The sequence below is a fragment of the Homo sapiens genome, chromosome 9 (assembly GCF_000001405.40).
Source record: "Homo sapiens chromosome 9, GRCh38.p14 Primary Assembly".
Taxonomy (NCBI): Eukaryota; Metazoa; Chordata; class Mammalia; order Primates; family Hominidae; genus Homo; species Homo sapiens.
In genome coordinates this window covers 19441003-19465204 of record NC_000009.12, presented here as the reverse complement: position 1 = coordinate 19465204, position 24202 = coordinate 19441003, and the positions used below count along the sequence as shown (strand labels likewise).

General features: G+C 43.8%; 2 protein-coding genes across 9 annotated transcripts in view, besides 9 other annotated features; one reads left to right on the top strand and one right to left on the bottom strand.

Annotated features, from left to right (window-relative positions):
• Positions 1 to 460: a silencer, noted in NCBI's record as "silent region_19795". NCBI's record gives its function as "represses an Ori minimal core promoter by ATAC-STARR-seq in GM12878 lymphoblastoid cells {active_cell/tissue: GM12878}" and the evidence as "EXISTENCE:reporter gene assay evidence [ECO:0000049][PMID:35858748]".
• Positions 1816 to 4279, top strand: MAP1LC3BP1 (microtubule associated protein 1 light chain 3 beta pseudogene 1). Its single transcript, XM_047424278.1, has 2 exons — positions 1816 to 1889; positions 3901 to 4279. Exons 1-2 carry the CDS (start codon positions 1816 to 1818, stop codon positions 4277 to 4279), a joined length of 453 nt encoding a protein of 150 aa, XP_047280234.1.
• Positions 3825 to 4326: an enhancer, noted in NCBI's record as "H3K4me1 hESC enhancer chr9:19460877-19461378 (GRCh37/hg19 assembly coordinates)". NCBI's record gives its function as "activates a minimal SCP1, AML or CMV promoter by ChIP-STARR-seq in primed H9 embryonic stem cells {active_cell/tissue: H9 hESC(primed)}" and the evidence as "EXISTENCE:reporter gene assay evidence [ECO:0000049][PMID:30033119]".
• Positions 7326 to 7465: an enhancer, noted in NCBI's record as "active region_28223". NCBI's record gives its function as "activates an Ori minimal core promoter by ATAC-STARR-seq in GM12878 lymphoblastoid cells {active_cell/tissue: GM12878}" and the evidence as "EXISTENCE:reporter gene assay evidence [ECO:0000049][PMID:35858748]".
• Positions 7326 to 7964: a biological region, named in NCBI's record as "OCT4-NANOG hESC enhancer GRCh37_chr9:19457239-19457834".
• Positions 7369 to 7964: an enhancer, noted in NCBI's record as "OCT4-NANOG hESC enhancer chr9:19457239-19457834 (GRCh37/hg19 assembly coordinates)". NCBI's record gives its function as "activates a minimal SCP1, AML or CMV promoter by ChIP-STARR-seq in primed H9 embryonic stem cells {active_cell/tissue: H9 hESC(primed)}" and the evidence as "EXISTENCE:reporter gene assay evidence [ECO:0000049][PMID:30033119]".
• Positions 7480 to 7774: an enhancer, noted in NCBI's record as "tiled region #13319; HepG2 Activating DNase unmatched - State 4:PromP, and K562 Activating DNase matched - State 12:CtcfO". NCBI's record gives its function as "activates a minimal TATA promoter and a strong SV40 promoter by Sharpr-MPRA in HepG2 and K562 cells {active_cell/tissue: HepG2 | K562}" and the evidence as "EXISTENCE:reporter gene assay evidence [ECO:0000049][PMID:27701403]".
• The window catches only part of ACER2 (alkaline ceramidase 2), a 43497-nt gene continuing 31994 nt past the window's right edge, over positions 12700 to 24202 (bottom strand). For 4 of the 8 annotated variants that reach the window (NM_001010887.3, XM_047423335.1, XM_017014694.2 and 1 more), the window contains exons 5-6: positions 18787 to 18924; positions 12700 to 14755 (exon numbers count right to left, since the gene is read on the bottom strand). In NM_001010887.3, the coding sequence (NP_001010887.2) occupies positions 14569 to 14755; positions 18787 to 18924 (325 nt within the window). In that variant the 3' untranslated portion in view covers positions 12700 to 14568. Of the gene's footprint in view, positions 14756 to 14849; positions 14986 to 18554; positions 18664 to 18786; positions 19022 to 24202 lie in introns of those variants that run through there. The other 4 variants (XR_002956780.2, XR_002956781.2, XM_047423336.1 and 1 more) reach the window with 4 other exon arrangements.
• Positions 13220 to 13439: an enhancer, noted in NCBI's record as "active region_28222". NCBI's record gives its function as "activates an Ori minimal core promoter by ATAC-STARR-seq in GM12878 lymphoblastoid cells {active_cell/tissue: GM12878}" and the evidence as "EXISTENCE:reporter gene assay evidence [ECO:0000049][PMID:35858748]".
• Positions 17947 to 19146: an enhancer, noted in NCBI's record as "BRD4-independent group 4 enhancer chr9:19446057-19447256 (GRCh37/hg19 assembly coordinates)". NCBI's record gives its function as "activates an origin of replication core promoter dependent on BRD2, P300/CBP, MED14 and CDK7 cofactors, and independent of BRD4, by STARR-seq in HCT116 cells {active_cell/tissue: HCT116}" and the evidence as "EXISTENCE:reporter gene assay evidence [ECO:0000049][PMID:35650434]".
• Positions 18262 to 19008: an enhancer, noted in NCBI's record as "NANOG-H3K27ac-H3K4me1 hESC enhancer chr9:19446195-19446941 (GRCh37/hg19 assembly coordinates)". NCBI's record gives its function as "activates a minimal SCP1, AML or CMV promoter by ChIP-STARR-seq in primed H9 embryonic stem cells {active_cell/tissue: H9 hESC(primed)}" and the evidence as "EXISTENCE:reporter gene assay evidence [ECO:0000049][PMID:30033119]".

The window sequence follows — 24202 nt, the reverse complement described above, 5'->3', positions numbered from 1 at the left end:
AGCGTTAGCGTTATCAGCTTTGGGGTAAATCCATTCTCTGGAACCTTGGCTTTAAAGAGCTCCCGCAAAGCGCAGAGCTTTCCTCTGGGGGCGCATTTCTGCAGCCCAGAGTCAGCACGGTCCGCTCACCTGGAAACATGCCCGGCGGCGAGTATAGGCAGGCACGCAAGAACTCTCTCCTGCCTGCGTGGGAGGCAAAAGCCGCCCTGGCCGCCCCCGCCGCAGCCCTGCGCCCCGCGCCCCGCGCCCGCCAGCCCCTAGTCCCACAGCCACGCGCCTTCTAGTCCCACACCCCCGAGCCCCGCAGCCCCGCGCCCTTCAGCCCACCGCGCTCTCGCCCGGCAGCACTGCCCCCTGGTGGGCGCCCGGAGCAGCGCCCGCCCGCTCCTCGGACACCCAGGCCGAGCTGCTCCCAGTCCGCTCCAGACACTACACTCATCGGGCTCCGCTCCCCACGCCCGCATCTCCCAACTGCCAGCCGTAGGACCAAGCAGAAGTGCATCCCTGACCTTCCTGTGGTCCCAGCGGACAATGGCCAAGACACCACACTCACAATGTGTCTTGCAGGTCATAGCTCCCCTTTCTGATATTTTCAACTCATGGGTATGGCTCCTGTTGGCTTCTTTCACGCTTGCTCTGCACAAAAATACGCACACACTCACACTCACACGCACACACACACACTCCTCAGTACTCCTGACATCCAACCAGGTGCCGTGGACAGAAGAGCCATCATCTGCCCAGCGGTCTGGCAGCCTGGAGACCTTTCCCCTGGCCTAGTGCTCGCTGCCCGTCAGGTATCAGTTTGGACGCCGCATTCCAATCCAGGAAGCCTTCCTCACCCGGGCAAGGTATTCTCACCACACCCCAAAACTCTTTTGCTCTAAGGCAGGGGTCTCCACACCCCAGGCCGCAGACCAGTACCCCTTTGTGGCCTGTTAGGAACCGGGCTGCACAGACGGAGGTGAGCCCCGGGGCGAAGGCAAGCATGACCGCCTGAGCTCCACCTCCTGTCAGATCAGCAGTGGCATTCGATTCTCATAGGAGTGTGAACCCTGTTGTAAACTGCGTATGGGAGGGATCTAGGTTGCATGTTCCTTATGAGAATCTAATGCCTGATGATCTGTCACTGTCTCCCATCATCCCCAGATGAGACCACCTAGTTGCAGGAAAACAAGCTAAGGGCTCCCACTGATTCTACATTATGGTGAGTTGTAATTATTTCATTACATATTACAATGTAATAATAATTATTATTCTTATATTACAATAATTATTTCATTATACGTTACAATGTAATAATAATAGAAATAAAGTGCACAATAAATGTAATGAGCTTGAACCATCTGAAACCATTCTCCACCTCACACTCCCAGCCCTTTCCAGTCTGTGGAAAAAAGTGTCTTCCATGAAACCGGTCCCTGGTGTCAAAAAGGTTGGAGACCGCTGCTCTACGGATTGATTGGTTGGTAAATTGATGTTTGGATTCAGTCTCCCAGGCCCTGGGTTTGTCTCTGGGAATACAAAGATGAGGAGGCCAGGCGGTGCGGGTAGGGAGAGGCCAGACTGGATGGCTTTATCCCACCAGACATCCTAAGATTTGGGAAGAGAACAGGTTTTCTTCCAAGTGAACCCCCAGGCCAGCTTCCTAAAACCTCCTCTTTCCTAGCTCAGCCCACACCCCTCTCCTCCTTAGTGCTGCCTCCCTTCACTGCTTCTCGGGGTATTTTCCACAGCTGGTTGTAGATAGCGGTACCCCTCCCCGCCTCGGAGGGAGGGCATGAAAAGGTATTACAGGAAATTTCACCAGGGACCATGGGAGAGAAAGAGGAAGCCCTGGGCATGTGTGTGCCAGCACTTGTCAGTGTGCACCTATGTGTGCATACAAGGTGCGTGCACACACGGGAGGAGTCTAGAGGTTCCACAACGCTAAATCCATTCTGGCGGTTTTAGCTAAAAGTGGGGAGGGGATTCCACATTCCTGGCACATGACAGTGTAGTGAGTGGTTCAAATAACGTTTGCCCAAAATTCACCTTCACCCAGAATCTCAGTATGTGACCTTATTTGGCAATGGGGTCTTTGCAGATGTCATTAGTTAAGATGAGGTCATACTGGATTAGGGTGGGCCCTAAGTTCAATGACTGATGTCTTTGTAAGATAAAGGAGAAACTTAGACACAAGGCCACAGGGACACAAGGAAGAAGCCCCATGACAGTGGAAGGAGAGACATGGAGCAGATTCTTGCTCAGAGCCTCCAAAAGGAGCCAACCCTGCCCACACCTTGATTTTGGACTTCTGGCCTCCTGAACTGTGACAGAATAAATTTCTGATGTTTCAAGCCACTAAGTTTTGAGGTGATCTGTTACACAGCCATGGAGACAGGCCCAAAGGCCATGTGAAAGACCAGGAAGAACACACAAAGCTCTGAGAGACTCGAGTGAAGGGGACAAGGGGGAGATGCTCAAAACCAGAAAGACTGGAAAGGAAGGCAGGGACCAGATCGTGGAGGAGACTTCAGATCACACTCAGGGTCTCCAATCAGGTTTGTTTTGTTCTAAGAGCAATGGGGAGGAACTGGTGGGGCCTGAGCAGGAAGGACACTGTCAGATTTCTCTCTAGAAAGACAGCTGTGGCTCCAGCAGGACAGATGGGCAATAGAAGGTGGCACCTTCTCCAGGATACGGAAAAATGGATGGATTTGAGACATTGGAGAAGTGGAATTAAAAGGATTTATTTACTATTAGATTGGATATGGGTTGGACACAGTGGCTACCACCTATAATTCCAGCACTTTGGGAGGCCAAGGCAGGAGGATCACTTGAGCCAAGGAGTTTGAGACCAGCTTGGGCAACATAAAGAGACAAAATTTAAAAATTAGCCAGGCATGGTGACACATGACTGTGGTCTCAGTGACTCAGGAGGCTGAGGCAGGAGGGATCCCCTGAGCCCAGGAGAGTGAGGCTGCCTTGAACTATGATTACACCACTGCACCCAGCCTGAGTGACAGAGCAAGACCCTGTCTCAAAATAGATTGGATATAGACAACTGAGGGAGGTGGGGACTGCCTCTGCCAACTGAATGGAAAGTGACACCACTCACTGAGAAAGTGGACAAGGCCCAGATTTAAGAGAGGTATAAGTAAAGGCAAATGTGAGTTGTCTATGGGCATCCAATAGAGATGGCCAGGAAATAATGAGACTTGCAGACCTGTCACTGAGCAAAGAGAGATAGCTTGTGACTCCTCACTATGGCCACAGGCAGTACCAGCATCCAGGACTGTTAAGCAGCAGATGGTTTTGATTACTAGCTGCCGTTTACAAAAACCTGAGGATGCTCAAGTCCAGGACATAAAATCATGCAGTATTTGTATATAACCTATACACATTCTCCCCCCGCCCCCTTTTTTTTTTTTTTTTTTTTTTTTTTTTTTTTTTTTTTCCTGAGACAGAGCCTTGCTCTGTCACCCAGGCTGGAGTGCAGTGGCACGATCTCGGTTCATTGCAACCTCCACCTTCTGAGTTCAAGCGATTATCCTGCCTCAGCCTCCCGAGTAGCTGGAACTACAGGCATGCACCACCACGCCAGGCTAATTTTTGTGTTTTTAGTAGAGACGGGGTTTCACCATGTTGGCCAAGCTGGTCTCCAACTCTTGACCTCAAGTGATCCGCCCACCTCAGCCTTCCAAAGTGCTGAGATTACAGGCGCCAGCCACCGCTCCCAGCCCTCCCCTATACTTTAAATCATCTCTACATTAGTTATACGTAAAAGCTATGTAAATAGTTGTTACATTGTACTGCTTCCAGAATGACAAGAAAAAATACTTTCTACCGCCCGCGCCGCCCCCAGGAGCCGCGGGGACCCTCGCGCCGTCGCCGCCGCCGCCTGGATCCCCGCACCAGGCCAGCGGAGAAGACCTTCAAGCAGCGCCGCACCTTCCAACAAAGAGTAGATGTCCGACTTATTCAAGAGCAGCATCCAGCCAAAAGCCCGGTGATAACAGAACGATACCAAGGTGAGAAGCAGCTTCCTGTCCTGGATAAAACGAAGTTCCTTGTACCTGACGTTCGAGACGTCAACATGAGTGAGCTCATCAAGATAATTAGAAGGCGCTTACAGCTCAATGCTAATCAAGCCTTCCTCCTGGTGGTGAACGGACATAGCATGGTGAGCGTCTCCACACCAGTCTCAGAGGTGTATGAGAGTGAGAAGGATGAAGATGGATTCCTATACATGGTCTATGCCTCCCAGGAGACGTATGGGATGAAATTGTCAGTGTAAAACTAGAAAAATGCATCTATTCTAGAATTTTTTAAACCCTTACCAAGGGAAAAAAGGGGTGTTGCCAACTGAGATCGATCAGTTCATCTAATCATAGATCATCAAACAGTAGTGTTCCCACCTAGGAGCGTTAGAAGTTGTGTTTGTATTTCAAGCGGCAGAACTGAGCTCCAAGTGAGAACGTTCAGCTTTGGAAACTATATGATTTAATGTAGGCTAGTTTGTTTTCAAATTTTAAAAGTTTAAAAATAAAATACTTTGCATTCTAAGTTGCCAATAAAATAGACCTTCAAGTTATTTTAATGCTCTTTTCTCACTAATAGGAACTTCCAATTCCAGCAGTAATTTAAAGGCTTTCAGAGAGACCCTGAGTCTTCTCTTCAGGTTCACAGAACCCAGCGCCTTTTCGGATAGAAGTTTTCTACTCAGCTAGAGAAATCTCCCTAAGAGGATCTGTAGGCCTCAGCTGTGAAGCATAATCCCTGCAAAACGCATTTGCCGTAATAGTTGGCACAAACGCAGGGTAAATGGGGTGTGTGTAAGAAAACAGCCCTGACTGTAAACTGCTGCTCGAGGTTCCTGACTCCTAACAGAACTACACCCAAAGTCCACACTCTTGCAGGGGTAGACATTTCTTATTTGGTTTGTTCTCTAGTTACACACATAAAGATACCACTGAAAAGGAAACTTGAGTAATTTATAATTTTGATCCAGTTTCTCAAAAGACCCTGGAGAAAGAGTGGCACTTCTTCTGTTTCAGCTTTTGTCTGAGTTCAAACTAGTGCCTGTGTTGGTATGGAAAGAAGCAGTGTACCAGTGTCATTCTTTAGGACAGCGGTAGAAACCACAGAATAGTATAACTAAAAGCATTAAAATTCAGACACACTCCCTTCTACCTTCTGGCTTAAAGCCATGGATGATCCATGTTTTTGTTTTTGTTTTTTTTAATGTTAAATGTGTAATTCAATATTATTGAAAAGGTTCCCACATTTTTAATAGTAGTTCAGTTATCACTGATAGGTCAAATAGCCATCAGAATTCCCCCACACTGAATGCATGTCAGTTGTGGAGAAAACATAGAAAAAGGAGTCATACACTCTTTACAAATACTAATGTCAGGAGTTAAACCTCCTCAGGTTCAACCTGTGATAAAAGACCAGTGCTTCCCACTACCTGCATGGGGTCCACTATTTAGTTTTCTTGGGAGTATCACAGGAAGATCACAGTTACACCACTTTAGACTGTACATGTAGCAAGTCACAACTTACCCTCGTGTGTTTAGATGTGTATGGAATTCCTGTATACATTAGTGAAAGCTATTTACTATAATAGGGGAAACCCAGATTCCTTGCATCTGGGCCCTGTACTGATCATTAAAGCAGTTCCTGTCACCTGCTCTCCCCACTGCATGCATCTGTCCACTTGGCTAACTTTTAATATGTATATTTTTACATTATGTAAATTCTTAACCAGCCTGTCTCATTTAGAATGTATACATCACATCTGACATTATTGTAACTACTGTGTGATCAGTAAGATTCCTATAAGACATACTGCTTTTTAAAAAAAAATAAATAACATGCTGAGGGGTGACCTATAGCCCACATTAGTGAGTGGTCACTTTATTTGCAGGATCTTTAAAACAAGTACATTTTTAATGAACTAAGTTGAATAAAGGTACAATTAAAAGCTGTAAAAAAAATACTTTCTACATATTCAACACTGAATTTTTTAAGTATTTTTAATCTAAGGCTGGTTGAATTCACAGATACACAACCCATGCATATGAAAGGCCAACTGTATTTTACCCAATTATTTGTACTAATAGGACAGTTTTGAAACTGACAATTCCAATTTGGTGCCCACCTATATGAAAACCTTTAACTCATTTGCCATAAATCCTCTGTGGAAAGAGAATTAAACCTAAGAGTCAAAAGTCCTGGGTTCACATCCTTGCAATAGCAGTGGTCAAAATACATTTCCAGTCGTACCCAAAACAGGAATAATGGTAATGCCAGCCTCGCAAAATAGCTGAGAGGAGTAAATGAGACCATTTATGTGAAAGATAACTTATGTGATGGGCTGTCAAATAAGGTTTGCTTGTAAGAAAATTCCTAGGGAGTCTACCAATAATATTCCTAGGGAGTCGACCAATTATTTCACTGGACTGAAATTCCGTATTATATGTGGCTCATGGTTTATCAGTTAAAGCTTAGAATTCTCGCTCCTCCCTGGTGAAAACTCACCACTCTCTCCTTCCTGCCTCCCTAGCACTGTTGATTCCTCTCCACTACGGGGATTTGGCAGAGTCAGTGGCCTTCTCCCCTCCCCAGATCTGAGCTGCTCCATCCGTCCCCATAACCCTCTGCAGGCAGCATAATAGGTAATACCACACAGACACTTGCTGAGTGTTGATTTAAATTAGATTCATCTTTAAAAAGATCTGAGTTATAATGACATTTGACTTGTGTAAATTGAGCTATTAATCCCAAAAGTTAAATTTCACTCCAGTGGATTAAAAACTTCCTCCAGACTGGTCGGTGGCTAGTGCCTTTTGGCCCAGCTACTAAGGAGGCTGAGGCAGGAGGATCGCTTGAGGCCAGGAGGTCAATGCTGTAGTGTGCCATTATGGAGCCTGTAAATAGCCCCTACCTTCCAGCCTGGGCAACACAGCAAGACCCCATATCTAATAAACAAACAAAAACACAAAACTTCCTTTAAATCACATCTACCTTAAATTGGTTTTAAATACAGCCCCTTTGTAACCTCAGGTTCCACATCCACCTATTCAACATGGATCGAAAATATTCAGGGAAAAAGAAACAGTAAAAAATCATAACACAACAATAAATAATAATACAAATAAAAAGCAACGCAGTTTAACAACTGTTTACACAGCATATACATTGTATTAGGTATTATAAGTAATCCAGAGATGATTTAAAGCACACAAGACGTGCATAGGTAATATGTAAATACAATGCTATTTTATGTATGAGACTGGAGCCTCTGGGATTTTGGTATGGGGGTTGGGGGGTCCTGGAACCACGAATACCGAGAGCCAACAACAGTATTTGCTTTCACATTGGGCAACCTCTAAAACACCCGGGGTGGGGGGTGAAAACTGAATTTCTAAGGGAAGAGAGGAGAGGAAAAGGAAGGGAGAGAGATGCTTGGAAAAATGCAGGGAAACATACCTGGGCCCAGAAAGAGATTACATAACTTGGCGTTTTGAGACAATTGGTGATCTCTGGGATGATTAGGAACTGGGAAGGGCTTCGCTTGCGCCACATAGCAATGCCTCAAAAACCCACAAGATGGCAGTATTACTCCAGGAGCGTCTCCGTCCCTCCCACCCAGTAGCTAATGGCTTTCTTTGTTCACAGGAAACCCTCTCTCCCAAATATCATCAGCGCCACTGTATGTTTTCCATTACTTCATGCTCCTGGCCTTACCTTCAGCCAGTTTCCTATCACTAGCCCGAATATAAAAATAAACTACTGTTATTTGTTACATCTTAAAAATAGCACTTTGGTCTCTGCTCTCAATTGCCAAAGCAGCTGAATCAAATGTTTTGTTTTAATGAGAAGCATAAAATAAATAAAAACCCAGGTGAGGGTGATCTCTTCCTTTTTGTGAGTTAACACCCAAAGAGAAGACTTCCCAGGTAAACTAGGTGTCGCCAGGCTGGAGACAGTTAGAGACAGAAGTGCCACTTGAGACAAGATAAGTTCTGGGAGAGAGGGGCTGCCAGCCCTCTTAAAACGGGGCCGGAAAGGAGGCTGAGAACCGGCTCTGGAGACAGTGGAGAACAAAATCTCAAATACCGTATCTTTTAAGTTCTTATTATGAAAAAATCCAACTATACAAAAGTAGACAGAACGGTATGACAAACCCAAACACCATCTTAAGAACTGTGAAACTGTAAACCAGGAAAGAGGCTGCAAGGAAAAAATCTAAGTTCCCAGTTTGTTGAGGAGCCCTAAGATGTCACTTGCCAGAACCCTGGGTCTGCCCACTCCAGCCCTTTGTAGTATAGTTCTTTAACACAGTCTTTCAATGTAATGTCTTTTAATGAAAAGTCCTTTAAAGAAAAGAGTGGGAGAGGCTAGCCCCTGAGCTCTGGTCTTCAAAGGGCAATCTGGAAAAGGGAGCAGGTGTGGCTGCATCAACTCCCAGCCAGACTCAGAAAAAGAGGTCACCCAAGAGGAGAAACAAATAATCCAGACTGTCGGGGAGAGAGGCACACACACCCGTGCCAGTGCCCCAAAAGCAGAGCTCTCAACTTCCTCAGCCACTGTCCCTGACCACAGCCTCAAAAAAGTTCAGTCCCGAAGACTGAGTAACCAATTTCAGCACCAAAAGGATTTGAGTGCTTGCTTAGTCTCCTGTTGGGCAGAGGCTGTTTACCTGGATGGGCTACTAGAGATGTCTGAACCCCCAGAAAATTATATACTGATTGAATGTCCCTTATCCAAAGTGCCTGGAACCAGAAATGCTTGGATTTCAGATATCAGACTTTGGAATATTTGCATTATACAGCATCCCTATTCCAAAAATCAGAAGTCTAAAATGCTCCAAGGAATATTCCCTTTGATTTTTATATAGGTGCTCAAAAAGTTTCAGGTTTTGGAGAATTTCTGATTTTTTATTTTTGGATTAGAGATACTCAACCTCTACATGGACGTTTTCCTACAGCTTTTATATTGCCAAACAACTATGGGGCCACTCCTTGTCCCCTCACCTCTGCCAGAAAAAAAAAAAAAAGTCTAAAAACCCACTGTAATGATACAGATAATGCTTATCCAGTCTTTCTTCTCTTACGATTTTTCTTTTTTTTTTTTCTTTTTGATAAATGGTCTCACTGTTTGGCCCAGGCTGGAGCACAGTGGCACGATCTCTGCTCACTGCAACCTCTGCCTCCTAGGCTCAAGCAATCCTCCCACCTCAGCCTCCTGCGTAGCTGGGACTACAGGTGTGTATCACCACACCTGGCTAATTTTTGTAATTTTGGTAGAGACAGGGTTTTACCATGTTGCCCAGGCTGGTTTTGAACTCCTGAGCTCAAGCGATACACCCACTTCAGCATCCCAAAGTGCCAGGATTACAGGCATGAGCCACTGTGCCCAGACTATTCTTCTAAATCTGATGATCTGTGAGTCCTTTCAGTTTAAAAAACTGCCACAGAAAATTAAAAGAAGTAGGTAAAAATTTTCCTGCTAAATTTATGATTTTAAAATGTCACGATCTTCCTTCTAGTGATTTGATGAAATCCAGCATAAATGAACTGTATTCTATATTTGAGATTTTTGGGTTTTTTTTTTTTTTTTGAGACAGAGTCTCGCTCTGTCACCCAGGCTGGAGGGCATTGGTGCAACCTTGACTCACTGCAACCATCGCCTCCCAGGTGAAAGTGATTCTCCTGCCTCAGCCTCCTGACTAGCTGGGACTGCAGGTGCGAGTTACCATGCCCAGCTGATTTTTGTATTTTTTTTAGTAGAGACGGGGTTTCGCCATGTTGGCCAGGTTGGTCTCGAACTCCTGACCTCAGGTGATCCACCCACCTTCCCCTCCCAAAGTGCTGGGATTACAGGCACGAGCCACCGCACCAGGCCTATATTTGAGATTTATATCTATATGACATGACTATAGAAGTTTTAGTAAAAATAAACTGTTCTTAGGTATTTTATGCTGGAAATATTTTCATGTGTTAATTTCACAGCTCTGAGAAGAAACCAACAAGGAACAACAATTACTTTACGCATTTTTAATAACAATGGTACCCAATTCATTAACAAATGAATTTAGGCAATGTGCTTTGCTCTACAATCCATCAGATACATTTTCACTGCAGATAGTTCAGAAATCATTTTGGAAATAGACACAAACATGTACATATTCATTTGCTGAAAATGCCACTTACAGCTTTAATATCAAATATAGTTATCATAGTTCACAGAAAAAGTATAAAGTGCAAAAGCTCCACTTCAAAAGGCCTTAAGTCACTCCCAAAGCAATGAGGATTAAATTTTACCACAGCCAGTGGGCATGCCACCCTTATGTAGGACACCTACATAAGGTATAAAACAAGGTATATATCTGAAAACACTATATTGCTCTGATTACATATTGTGGTTATAAAATAGTTTTAAATCTGGTTTAACATACAGAGAAAGATACAATTCAAACAATTAGTCCTATAAAGTAGGGGTTATTTATTTTTTTAAGTTTGCAGGGGAATTATGTCTATAAAATCCATTGAGAATCCCAATCTGGCCCAAGACTTCTCTTTGGCCAGCTGGAATAATAGCACCTAGGCAAAGCCTTGGCTATGAAAGCTTTCAGATTAATTTCAGTGTAAAAGGAGCTAGGAGAGGGGCCCTGACTGGGTGAGCTTCAGCATCCACCTGGTCCCTCAGAGATGGTTCCATGTCTGCCCCAAGGGATAAAGAGCCAGGAAGGCTCAAATCCCAGTCCTGAGGGCTCATGGAAGCATGATGAACTGGCGAGAGAAGTTTTACACACCTGACAGATCCAGTAAGTGGAATAGGTGGTCGTATTTTTACAAAGCCTTGTGTTTGATGACCATCAAGCTTTGTCCCTCAACAGAACATCTTTGATCTATAATTAATGTTTTAGGCACTCTTCACTGGACAGGCATAGAGTTCCCCAAAAATGCAGCCCATCCCCAAATGGATTCAGAGATCTCATCTCCACACACCTTAAATGTGTTCATGGAAGGACTTGATTTATAATGATGTAATCATAAAGGGAAGAAAATATTACTTTTTCTAATAATCAACAACTAAACACTGTAAAACATGAATCGCTGACTGAAATGATCACTCGGAAACATGAATGGTTTTTTATAGCCTAACTCCAGTTTCTGCTGGGTATTGATCTTGGGCAAATTCTGACCAGAACAAAATCTGATTAGCCATGCCAAGTAACCACAACCATGACCTAACTCCTAAGTGTCAGCCCTACTGAAGGGAGGGAGATTCTTGACTGCCCATCAATTAATGAAATAAACTATTCATTTTTTACAATCTGAACATATCAAAATCTGTAAAGTCACATATTTAACAGCTATTTATGATGACTCACCAAGCCAAGTGCAGAGGCACATCAAAAAGTACAATTACATTCATTACTTTTTGGAGCCCATTCATGTTAGGCTTGATTAAAAAGGTAGACTCAGTAGTCAGTCTCAGAATCCAGTGATCAGCATTCAAGCATATAGCTAACTCTAGTGTATTCCAAACCTACACTTCATGAAAAAATATACAACTGGCATTTACATGCCATTCAAGCTACAGGATAAATGTCAACTCTGAAAGACATCATTTATTTACAACTATATTGGGGGAAAAAAGAGGAGACCAAACCAAAATATTAACAAGGATTATACCTGGGCAATAGAAATATGGGTTACTTTTTTTTTTCTTTGACTTCTCTGTAGTTTCCCAATTTTCTTTAAAGAGTTTGTAGTGCTTTTACATATATGAGCGATGCCATAAACCCAACTTAAAATAAGATGGGTATATTTCTACTCTCTTGGTTTACATCCCATGCTGGCAAGCTAGAGTGATTTCTGTTCAAAAGTGAAGTTATGTTTTGTCCTCCTCAAATATACTCCATTCCACATTTCTTTCTCAGCTCATCTCTTTAAAACCAGTTTCTAGAAGCACATTCTGCTTCTCACATTAAAAAAAAAAAAAAAAAAAAAAAAAAAAAAGCCGGGCTTAAAATATATACCAAACCCCCTACCTTGGAGCATTTATACCATAAAGTAGATGAGACCAGAATCCATGCCTGATAAGGTCAATCTAAAATAAGAATGAGCTGATATTTGCCTTTAAAAAATTCTAGACTTGAAACCCAAAGGACTTAACAGCAGTTCTGTTCCATCAACCTCCTAGGTCTCAAAGAGATACATTAGAAATTCTACGAATATTTAATTCAAAGATCATTTTAAAAATATTTTTTAGGCCAGGCGTGACGGCTCATGCCTATTCCCAGCACTTTGGGAGGCCGAGGCGGGCGAATCTCTTGAGCCCAGAAGTTTGAGACCAGCCTGGGCAAAATGGTGAAACCCCATCTCTATGAAAAAATACAAAAATTAGCTGGGAGTGGAGGCACGCACCAGTACTCCCAGCTCCTGGGGAGGCTGAGGTGAGAGGATCACTTGAGCCTGGGAGACAGAGGCTACAGTGAGTCATGACTGCACCACTGCACTCCAGCCTGGGTAATAGAGCAAGACCCTGACTCAAAAACAAAACACTCTCTCTATATATATATAAAACTATAATAAACCAACATATACATTCATTCAACACCTAATTTTTCTACCTTGGAAATTACCAATTTGTTAATTTGCATTTTCACCACCTCATATATTATTAAGTAAATGCCATAAATTTAACCTTAAATAAATTTAATAACATACAATTTACTTCACACACTGGGGTTCCACAAAGATTTCTTACTACAAACAGCGTTCTGCTTCTCAACAACCTATATAATTTGATAACCACAGATGTAGCATAAAGTCATTCATTTTTAAACTCTAAATTCAGTTGCTTATTGGGGTTTTCACCTTGGATCTGGTACAAATTCTAACTAGAGTAAGAGTTCCTGGATGTGTCAAAAATCGTCACCTTCCCAACTCTTACATATGTAGGACAGTGACATGACTCCTGCCCACAGAAGAACACACCTGTCCTGCCCTCTCCCAACAATGGAATGTTACAAAGCAGGACACGCCTGAGTTAAAATGAGTATCCCTGAGGTTGATAATTCCCACCATGCACCTTGAAGATGGTTCTTGAATCTTTCATTCAGCCCGATGAAGAGAAGATTCATTGTAGCCAGTGTCACATTAGGTGAGAAAAATTCAGAAGGCAACAGATTTGCGCTGCTGCACCAGCGACCCAAACCAGCCCGTGAGTGCATAGCTACTGCCAGCACTTGAGAAAGGTGAGCCGTTGGATACTCTGGGAAACCGAGAAAGCACCTTCTACTGCAAGCGTGAAGAACATGATGCCCACAGAAAACACAACAGAAACAAGAAGTGAGACTCTTGAAGGTAATTTCCAGAATAGTACAGCATACTGGAGGCTTCAAATGAGAAAACGTTTCCAAAAACTTCATGTTTGCTCCAAATTTTGAACCAGAACCCCCACCACAATTGTGAGGAGCCCTTTGGTAAACTTACAGAGGTCAAGTCTTAAAGATGGTGGGTCTGTGGGAATGTTCATGCCATAATTCTTCTTCTCTGTAGATTTGAGGCTGCTGAGCTGGGGTGGGAGGGGGAAGAGGAAGTGATGTCAGTATTTAAAAATTGTGCTCAGTATTTAAAAATTGTGCTCATCTTCAAGAAGGGCCTAAAGTGGAGTGTAGGTTTTGGCAGAGAGGGTTTTACTCATTAGCTTCACGTTTATCTGAAGTCTCTCCATCTCTCCACAGAGGTAGTAGTAAAAGGATTCACAGATGCATGTAAAACCTGGGTTAGTTGAGAAATGCAAGTGAAAAACTAGCCTTTTTAGCCACAAGTCCTGTGTGTGTTTCATCTGTTTGGTTTTGTTTAAGGACAATTACCCCAAAGGAAAATCTCTGGCATCTTCCATCACAGAGTCAGAGGGTCTTGTCTCTCAGAGGGTCTGTCTGTCATCAGTAGAGTCCACTCCAAGGGCGCCTGGGAATGGTGGGGTCTGGAGCAGGCCAGCTTTCTCCAGGAAGAGATGCATTGTACAGGGCTGGATCCCCCAAGGGACTGCTCTGCCATGGCCATTAAGGACGCAGCCCAACAAGTCACTGCATCTGGAAGTGATGCTGAGAAAGATGCATCTAGTGTCCCTAAGCCCTCCATTTTCCATCTTTGGGAAAGGAATAGACACTTTTCCCCTTGTACAGTGGAATCCAGGTGGTCCACAGACACATTAGGGAGGAGGAGGGGACCTTTTTAAAAATTACACAAAATCCAGAAATCCTAAAGAAAAGATTAACAGATGTGACAACATGAAAGTTTAAAACCAGTATGGCACAAAAATATTAACATACTGAAAGACAAATGGGAAACTGCAGGGGGGCAGGGAATATTTGTACCATATGACAAAGTTTAAATCCCTACATACAAAGAACACTAAAGAAATTAAGAGCCCCAGCAAATAGATTTTTGAAAAGATAGCCCACACCCCAACTATTCGAACTCCCTTGGCTGTCTTCCTAGCAAAGGAAGCCCACTGCATGAGGGGCGATAAGCAGAGAAGCCAGCCACCATCTTGCCATCACGTGATCTTGACTGATGATTTCTTGTTGGCACACAGGAGGGACACATAGGGGACACCAATGAAGGCCCATTTCTCATTGGGCCAGAACTTGATGACAGGGCCTTGCTCAGGAATCTCTGAGGCAGCATCAAAGTAGGCAAAGCATACACAGCCCAGGTAGGCAGCAAGGCAGATGAGGATGTGCCTGCAGAGGGAGACAAGAGGTGAGAACCTGATGAGCATGAAGACTCCGCTGCCCTGAGTTTAGCCTGCTCCTTCTTCCGGTCTAACCCACGCACCTTGCTGACTGTAGTTGCAGCCCAGGGGCCTCTTCTAATTAGGAAAGGATGAAGATTACCAACAATCCCTGGAATAGCAGGATGATAAATCTTCAGCAATTTGGGACCCGTTTTAGAATGTTCTTAAATAGTCCTGCTGGATAATAGGAACAAATGTGCAAATAAATGCCTTTGGGCCTCAAACAAGAAGACTGAGGCCCAAGGATTTACAACAGAGATGCTAAGATGGAAGTAACTGAGCACATCTGATTAGAACCCACCTTCTCACTTTAACAACTGGTTACAGATATTTTATGTCCTTCATCAGGAATAATTTTATGTTGGTTAAACCACTTTTGCAGTTTAGTGGAAATTTTAAAAAATTTATCCTCACTGTACCTGTACAAAGTTTTAAATTTATATTAAACTTTATCGAACAATAGACCATTTAAAAGCATGTAATCCTTTTTTTTTTTTTTTTTTTTTAAATGAAGTCTCACCCTGTCATCCAGGCTGGAGTGCAATGGTGCAATCTCGGCTCACTGCAACCTCTGCCTCCTGGGTTCAAGCAATTCTCCTGCCTCAGCCTCCCAAGTAGCTGGGATTACAGGCACCCACCACCAGGCCCACCTAGCTAATTTTTGTATTTTTAGTAGAGAGGGAGGGGGTTTCACCATGTTGGCCAGGCTGGTCTTGAACTCCTGACCTCAGGTAATCCACCTGCCTCGGCCTCCCAAAGTGCTGGGATTACAGTCGTAAGCCACTGCGCCCAGCCCAAAGACAATATTTTTATAAACTTTGATGTTGGGGAGGAGGGGATCTTTTTAAAAATTACACAAAATCCAGAAATCCTATAGAAAAGATTAACAGATGTGACAATATGAAAGTTTAAAACCAGTATGGCACAAAAATATTAATATACTGAAAGACAAATGAGAAACTGCAGGGGGGCAGGGAATATTTGTACCATATGACAAAGTTTAAATCCCTACATACAAAGAACACTAAAGAAATTAATCAGGGTCAGGGTGGGAAGTAGGTGAGAATGGTATGAACCAGATTGGCCTCGTGTTGATAGTTATGGAATCTGGGTGTTGCCTATATGGGGGTTCAATGTATTATTCTCTGTACTTGTGAAAATGTTGCAAATATGCATAAGTGGCACATAGTTACGTAGCTAGTAATGACTGTCTACTATGTGCCAAGCCTAGATGCTGAATATAAACTGTTTTATTTTTTATTTTTTGGAGACGGGGTCTCACTCTGTTGCTCAGGCTAGAGTACAGTGGCACAATCTCAGCTCACTTCAATCTCCGCCTCCCAGGTTCAAACGATTCTCCTGCCTCAACCTCCCAAATAGCTGGGACTACATGCACATCCGGCTAATTTTTTGCATTTTTAGTAGAGACGGGGTTTCACCGTGTTAGCCAGGATGGTCTCGATCTCCTGACCTGGTGATCCACCTGCCTCGGCCTCCCAAAGTGCTGAGATTACGGGCGTGAGCCACCACGCCCGGCTGATATGAACTTTTAAAAATAGAAACACTCAATAGACCAGACAAAGAAAATTAAAAGGGGAAATACACATCACAAATTGACATTTGAAAAGATGCCCAACAAAAATACTAATTTTTTAAAAAGACATAATAATAAAAACAAAATATAATTTTTCTCAAACAGGTTAATGGAGATTTAAGAGTTTCCAGTATATGTGAAAGTGTGGGTAAAAAATGCTCTCTTACAGACTTCAGTAAACAGTGTTAATGGTACAGTTTCTCTGGATTTAGCAATATATAATATTAATTTAACATATGAAAATATTCAGAAACTCAAATCAATCTAGATGTTCATTATAAAGTGTTTGCAAAAGTGGAAAATTAGAAATAACCTCAAAGTCCGTTATCAGAGAGAGGTTGGTTAAATAAATTATAAAGTGTCCATATTATGAAGCATTTATTAGACACAAAAATGAAGATTATATATATGTATTGGTATGGAATGATGTCTGTATAGCATTAGATCTATGTAGTATAGATTTAAGTATTTGGTTAAAAAAAAAGTTTGGGCCAGGCTCAATGGCTCATGCCTGTAATCCCAGCACTTTGGGAGCCCAAGGCAGGTGGACCTGCTCGAGCCCAGGAGTTTCTGACTAGCCTGGGCAACATGGCAAAAATCCATCTCTACAAAAAAATTCAAAATAAATTAGCCTGGCACAGTGGCATGCACCTGTAGTCCCAGCTCCCTGCAGGGGGTGAGGTGGGAGAATCACTTTCAGTCCGGGAGGCAGAGATTGCAGTGAGCCAAGATCACCCCACTGCACTCCAGCCTGGGCAACAGAGTGAGACTTTGTCTCAAAAAAAAAAAAAAAAAAAAGTTTGCATCGTGTATAGAATGATGCTATTTTTTTTAAAAGTAGACATATATATGTGTGCGTGTGTGTGTACATATAAAATCTCAATGGATATACATCAGACTGTTAATAATTATGTTTCTTTGGGGGATAGAATTATGAGAGCCATTCTTTCTATACTTCTATGTTGTTTAAATTTGTTATAAAAAATATGTCATTTTATAACTGGAAAGAAAATATGGTTCAACTTTGAAAAACAAAGCAGAAATATACCAAATTCAGAAACACATTAAGTTTGAGTCAAAATTATTACATAGTTTAAATTTCGAATTTGACTTAAATCATGTGTGACAGGGGACTTAGATAAAAATGACCATCTTGAATGAGGTCATATTTACCTAGTGTATACATTTCTCAAAATTCACAATATACACTTAAAATCTGTACATTTTGTTATCTGGAAATTATAACCCAACAAATATATAAACTATATAAATTCACTAGTATTAGTTGAGTTGAATCTAAAAAATATCGAGCAATGGATCCTAAGACGGTAAACTCCAACTTGTGCTGTTTGAATTTTGTCTTTTACAAACACTCCTTGAAGTCCCCAAGTCTTAAATTTAGAGTAGGGTGGGTCTCATAGCAAATATATCAAAGTTCACATGAGCAAGGGAACTTAAGTGAATTCTATCAAATTGTATATTTTTAGCCTATCTCTGGATAGAAGTCAACCTTTTCCTGAATCTAGATCTAACAAAGTTTTTCCATTTCTTCACCACTAGAATTCCTCTCTGGGTTCCTCCTACCTATAGGGGATAACCTACAGCAGATTTCTCCTCCTTGTGATCTTTTGCAATCAGAAGTCCTGGAGGACAGAAAGGAAAGATCACTCTGGGTTTGAGGCTGAAGCAGTTCCTAGGAAGAAAGCCACTCCAATTTCCCCCAGCTTTCTCAGAATCGGATTCTGCATGTATTTTGTAACCCGCTTTTTTTTTTTTAACTTAGTGTATCCTGAGCATTCCAAAGTATAGACGCTCCAATGTGCTATTACTGAACTCCAAGGTTGTTTTCTACAGAAACAGGTGGGTGACATTAAACAATTCACTTTAGCTCTCTGGTCTTCTGTCCCCACTTATAGAAATAATGGAAGAGAATGTCTCTAAATGGCCAGTGCGGCCCCTCCTTGCACTTGGTCTCTCAGGCCCTAAAGGTGGGGTTCCCACTGAGGACCCTCCCAGCCCTCACATCACCTCTTTCCCCAGCTTTCCCCTACCTCTCCCCTCCCCCAACACCTAGCTAGAGCTCAGGTTACAGGTTCAGTTCTCAAGCTCCTTTAGGCTTTAATAATGGAGTTAGAGGTAAAAGACTGCAGACCTAAGCATGACAATCAGGCCTTTCGTTCCGGCTAAGCCTGCTCCCTGGAGTCAATTCAGCTTTTTACAAAGTGTGCTTTCAGTGGCTTCTGAACCATCTGACCGTCCACCTGAGGAGAGAAGCAAGCCAGCAACCCACAGGACACCTGTGCACCACTTGCAGGGTGAACAGAGCCCAACAGCAAGTGCAAACACACCTGTCCCCGGCCACCTCCCCATTAGCAGGGGCTTACCACATGCAGTGCAGGTAGGGGAAGTTGAAGGATGACAGCAGCTCGCAGAAAGCTCGGTCACTGATCCAGCAGAACAGGGCCAGGGTCCACCAGAGGCCCGAGAAGAGGCCCAGCTTAAACACACGCATGTTGTCACACCTGCACGGGGGTCCAGAGAGTCACTCATCGTCAGACCTTGTCTCCACCTCCTTGCTGGCCACCTTTCCTGTGTCTCCTTCGCTGGTTCCTCTCATGCCTACAACCCCAAGACACTGAAGTTCTTACCCAACACACAGTCACTCCACAGTCTCATGGATGTAAATACCATATGTACACAGATGGCTCACAGACACCCTTCCCACCCAGGCTTCTCTCCTGACTCCAGACTCATACACCCAACTACATTTTTGACACGAGCACCCTAATATGGATCTAAATTTAACAAGTCCATAACCTATTCTTCTCCCAATCTTTCTCCTTCTCACATAGCCCACATCTAGTCCATCAGCTCTCCCTTCAAAATATCTCAAACCTGACCTCTTTCCACCACCTCCATCTAGATCCATGCTACCGCCATCTCATCAGAGTCTCCTTCCACCCTTGCCCCTACAGCCAATTTAACAGCCTCCAGCATCTTCCTGTTTAACCAGAGGGAAAGCCAAAGTATTCACAGTGGCCACAAGGCCCCGGATGCATGATCTTCCCTTTTCCCCTTCACCTCCTCTCGTGTGTACTCTTCCCTCTCACTGCCCATACTCAAGCCACTGCAGGATTTGTGCTGTTCCACAAATATCCCAAGCATGCTCCTGCAAGACCATAGCACTCACTGTGCCCTCTTGCCTGGAATGCTCTTCCCTCACATGTAAATCTTTGCTCAAATGTCACTCAGTAAGCCTTTTCCTGATGCTATTTTTAACAATTTCAACACCTGTCTCCACCTCCCAGGTGACTCTCCCTAAGGCCTCCTTCCCTCCTTTAATTTTCTAGGTAGTGATTATAACCTCCCTGACACCCTCTGTGTTTCACTTATGTGTTTCCAGTGTGTGTTTATCCACTGACATGGAATCTGTTTACTGCTGTATCCCAGCACCTGGAAATGTGCCAGACACAGAAGGCACTCAACATGTGTTGAATGAAGGAATAACTTCTTACACACACTGGGACAAAATGGTTTTCTGAAAAAAATGCTAACAGCTCAATGAAAATTTCAATTGCCGTCTTCTTTCCTTGACAAAGACTTGCTCATAAAGTGGGTGAGTTCTACCCCTGGGGACGAACACCTGGGGGCAGCTGGTGGCTGAGCGTCCTTCTTCCCGGAGGGGACCACTCCTGGGTCAGTCAAGATCTCCTATGGGACCCAGAATACAACACGACATCTGCAATTGAGAAGAAGCTTAATTCCTCTTTGTTGAACCCACAGACAGGTGTTAAAAGCCTGACTGGCTAGTGCCCTTCCCAGATGCCTTTCACAAACATCAGCGAAAGCATCAATAAAAGTGGGACAGGTTCAGAAAGACCTGTTCAAAAACAAATCAAAATACTCTTGTAGGAAGGCTAAATACATCCCTTGAAAAGTTTTTAGAAAGAATAGAGGCCGATGACATGGGGAGACTTACATTCCCAGTTACTAAAACAAAGAGATAACAATTTCCATTTCTCGCTTTCGATTACCACTCTCTACCTTGAATGCCTCGCCTTTGGGCTGGTTCCCTCTCAAAAAGAGCTCATCTCTCACCTTGACCCACCCTCTCCTTCTCTCCAGGGCTCAGTCTCCAGGCTTCTTCCCACACACAATGCCAGATACTATAGGTCTCCCCTCAGTGCAAGCTCGTCCACAACCGTGGCCCACAGGCTGCATGCCGACCAGGATGGTTTCGAATGAGGCCCAACACAAATTTGTAAACTTTCTTAAAACATTATGAGATTTTATGCCGGGCGCGGTGGCTCAAGCCTGTAATTCCAGCACTTTGGGAGGCCGAGGCGGGCGGACCAGAGGTCAGGAGATCGAGACCATCCTGGCTAATCCGGTGAAACCTCGTCTCTACTAAAAATACAAAAAAATTAGTCGGGCGTGGTGGCGGGCGCCTGTAGTCCCAGCTACTCGGGAGGCTGAGGCAGGAGAATGGCGTGAACCCGGGAGGCGGAGCTTGCAGTGAGCCGAGATCGCGCCACTGCACTCCAGCCCAGGGGACAGAGCAAGACTCCGTCTCAAAAAAAAAAAACCATTATGAGATTTTTTTTTTTTGCGACTTTCTTTTTTTTTTTCTTTTCTTTTTTTTTTTTTTAGCTCATCAGCTATCATTAGTGTATTTTTTGTGTGGCCTAAGACAATTTTTCTTCCAATATGGCCCAGGGAAACCAAAAGAGCGGACACCCCTGCCTTAGCGCATTCTCTCAGGGCACCCTGCCATGTTCCTTCATAACTCTCATCACAAGTTGAAACTATGAATTTATTATCTGTGTAACATCTGGTATTAAACTAGCCTAGAGGCCGGGAGCTCACCCCTGTAATCCCAGCACTTTGGGAGGCCAAGGTGGGAGGATCACTTGAGATCAGGAGTTGGAGATCAGCCTGGCCAATGTGGTGATATCCCGTCTCTACCAAAAATACAAAAATTAGCCGGGGGTGGTGGCACATGCCTGTAATCCCAGCTACTTGGGAGGCTGAGGCAGGAGAATCACTTGAACCCAGATTGTGGAGGTTGCAGAGAGCTGAGATCGCACCACTGCTCCAGCCTGAGCTTCAAGAGCAAGACTCCATCTCAATAAACAAACAAACAAACAAACAAACTAGCCTAGAATCCCAGAGGAACTACCCCTGTTTTATTCACTAATGTATACTCCATGCCTGGCAACTGTGCCAGGCACTGTTAAATGCTTCCTGAATTAATGGATAAAATTATGCATAAATGGACCCTAATTTGGTAATTTGTAATTTGGGCAGAACATTATTTTTAGATTATTTAAGATTATTGGCCAGGCACGGTGGCTCATGCCTGTAATCCCAACACTCTTGGAGGCCAAGGCCGGGGGATCACGAGGTCAGGAGATCAAGACCATCCTGGCTGACAGGGTGAAACCCCGTATCTACTAAAAACACAATAAATGTGCCGGGCGTGGTGGCTCACACCTGTAATCCCAGCACTTTGGGAGGCTGAAGCAGGTGGATCACGAGTTCAGGAGATCAAGACCATCCTGGCTAACGTGGTGAAACCCTGTCTCTACTAAAAATACAAAAAAAATTAGCTGGGCATGGTGGCAGGCACCTGAAGTCCCAGCTACTCCGGAGACTGAAGCAGGAGAATGGCGCGAACCCGGGAGGCGGAGCTTGCAGTGAGCCGAGATCGCGCCACTGCACTCCAGCCTGGGCGACTGAGCAAGACTCCGTCTCAAAAAATAAATAAATAAAATTAAAAATTAAAAAATAAAAATACAATAAATTAGCCGGGCATGATGGCATGCATCTGTAGTCCCAGCTACTCGGGAGGCTGAGGTAAGAGAATCGCTTGAACCCAGGAGGCGGAGGTTGCAGTGAGCCGAGATAGTGCCACCGCACTCCAGCCTGGGCGACAGAGCGAGACCCCATCTCAAAAAAAAAAAAAGTATTTATTGGGCACCAAATTCCATGCTAGGCACTATAAAATACAAAATAAATAGGCCTCTTGCCTTGAATTTAAAAAATAAAATGAAAATAGGCAAGAACAAATATCAACAAATACATAGACAATTAGTCTGGGACACGAGGATCTATGAACATCCAGTGAAATTAAACCTAGAAAGTTTGGCTTAAGGAACACACCAGAACGGAGAGCAATGTGTTGGAGATGTCCTGCATGGAGGGCATCAACCGAGAGGGAGGTGCCCGGCCGTTAGTCACTGTAAGTGCCAGGACAGGGCCGGCTTGGCATGTACGAGGCAGGAGGGAGGCTCTGTAGAGCCTGGTCTCAGGGCAGCCTGTTACCTTTCTCTGCTTCTAGAAGAAGCAGATCCTGCTAGAAGCTGCTGACCAGCCTTATTTGCACTCGGGGCTTGTCCAAAGCTGCGGTCCATTAGGTTTCACTCCCATTTCTCAGGGCTTTTATCAAAATATCAATGTGAAGTGAAAAAGGGCGGACAAAAATCACATGTACAGCAGGACCTTATTCTACAAGAGAAAAGTCTGAATCTCTCCCATTTCTTCTCTTCTAGACCCTTGATTATATTCTCAATTTTTTCTTAACAATAAAATCACTCCTATAATCAGAAAAAGTATTTTTTTAAATATCAATGTATCTGAGTTACTCGGCAATGTACTTAACACCACCAATTTCAGTGTCAGGTCATGACCCAAAATCAGCATAAACTTTTGTTTTCTCATGGTCTAAGGGAGAGTTCAGAAAAGACAATGGAAATACTTCTCAGGAAGCTGGTTAAAAGAAATGACTAGAAACAAGCTTTAGGAATAAAGGCTAAAGAGAAAGAGAAAGTGAGAAAACAGTTCCTCCTCTATTACCTCTGAGCAAACTAGCGTGCAGTGAGAAACATTCAACTCAGACATAACATCATTGCAGGTGACAACCAGGGAAGATTCGGGAAAGAGGTCTAAGAGCAATAAGGGCATCCTTTTGTCTGGGTATTTTATCAAAGCAGGGAAACAACCGTCTTTTCTTTTCCTGGCTGGGAACTGGTGTGGTAAGTGACAAAGCAGTGAAAAAAGAGACCCCGTCCCTGCCTATGTGAAGTCGATGTTCAGCAGAGGGGACAGACAACAAACAAAACAATATAAATAATATAATTACAATCAGGATGGGTGCCATAAAGGAGAAGTTCAGGGTCCTGGAACAGCATATAAATAGCTCAGCCCAAACTGAAGGATGAGTATAAGTTAGCCAAGCAAGAGGGCCAGAAAAAGGGATGGCATAAATAAGGAAGGGGCTGGGGCTGGCAGGTGCAGGGTCCCCAGAAGAAACAGAAGGTCAGAGTGGCTGAGGATGGAAGGCAGAGGAGCTTCTTGTGGGAGTGATCAGCTCACAGGGGAAGGCTGGAGCATGTCAAGGATTTGGAACTTTATCTTCATTGCAACATCGACTGGTAGAAAAATGACTGTGCTCAGGGCTGGGCATGTGGCTCATGCCTGTAATCTCAGCAATTTGGGAGGCCAAGGAGGGCAGATCATGAGGTCAGCAGATTGAGACCATCCTGGCTAACATGGTGAAACCCCATCTCTACTAAAAATACGAAAAAGTAGCCAGGCATGGTGGCACATGCCTGTGGTCCCAGCTACTTGGGAGGCTGAGGCAGAAAAATCGCTTGAACCCGGGAGGCGGAGGTTGCAGTGAGCTGTGAGATCATGCCACTGCACTCCAGCCTGGGTGACACAGTAGGACTCTGTCTCAAAAAAAAAAAAAAAAAGAAAAAGAAAAAGAAAAATGTGCTGAAATGGCATGTTTGGGGAAGG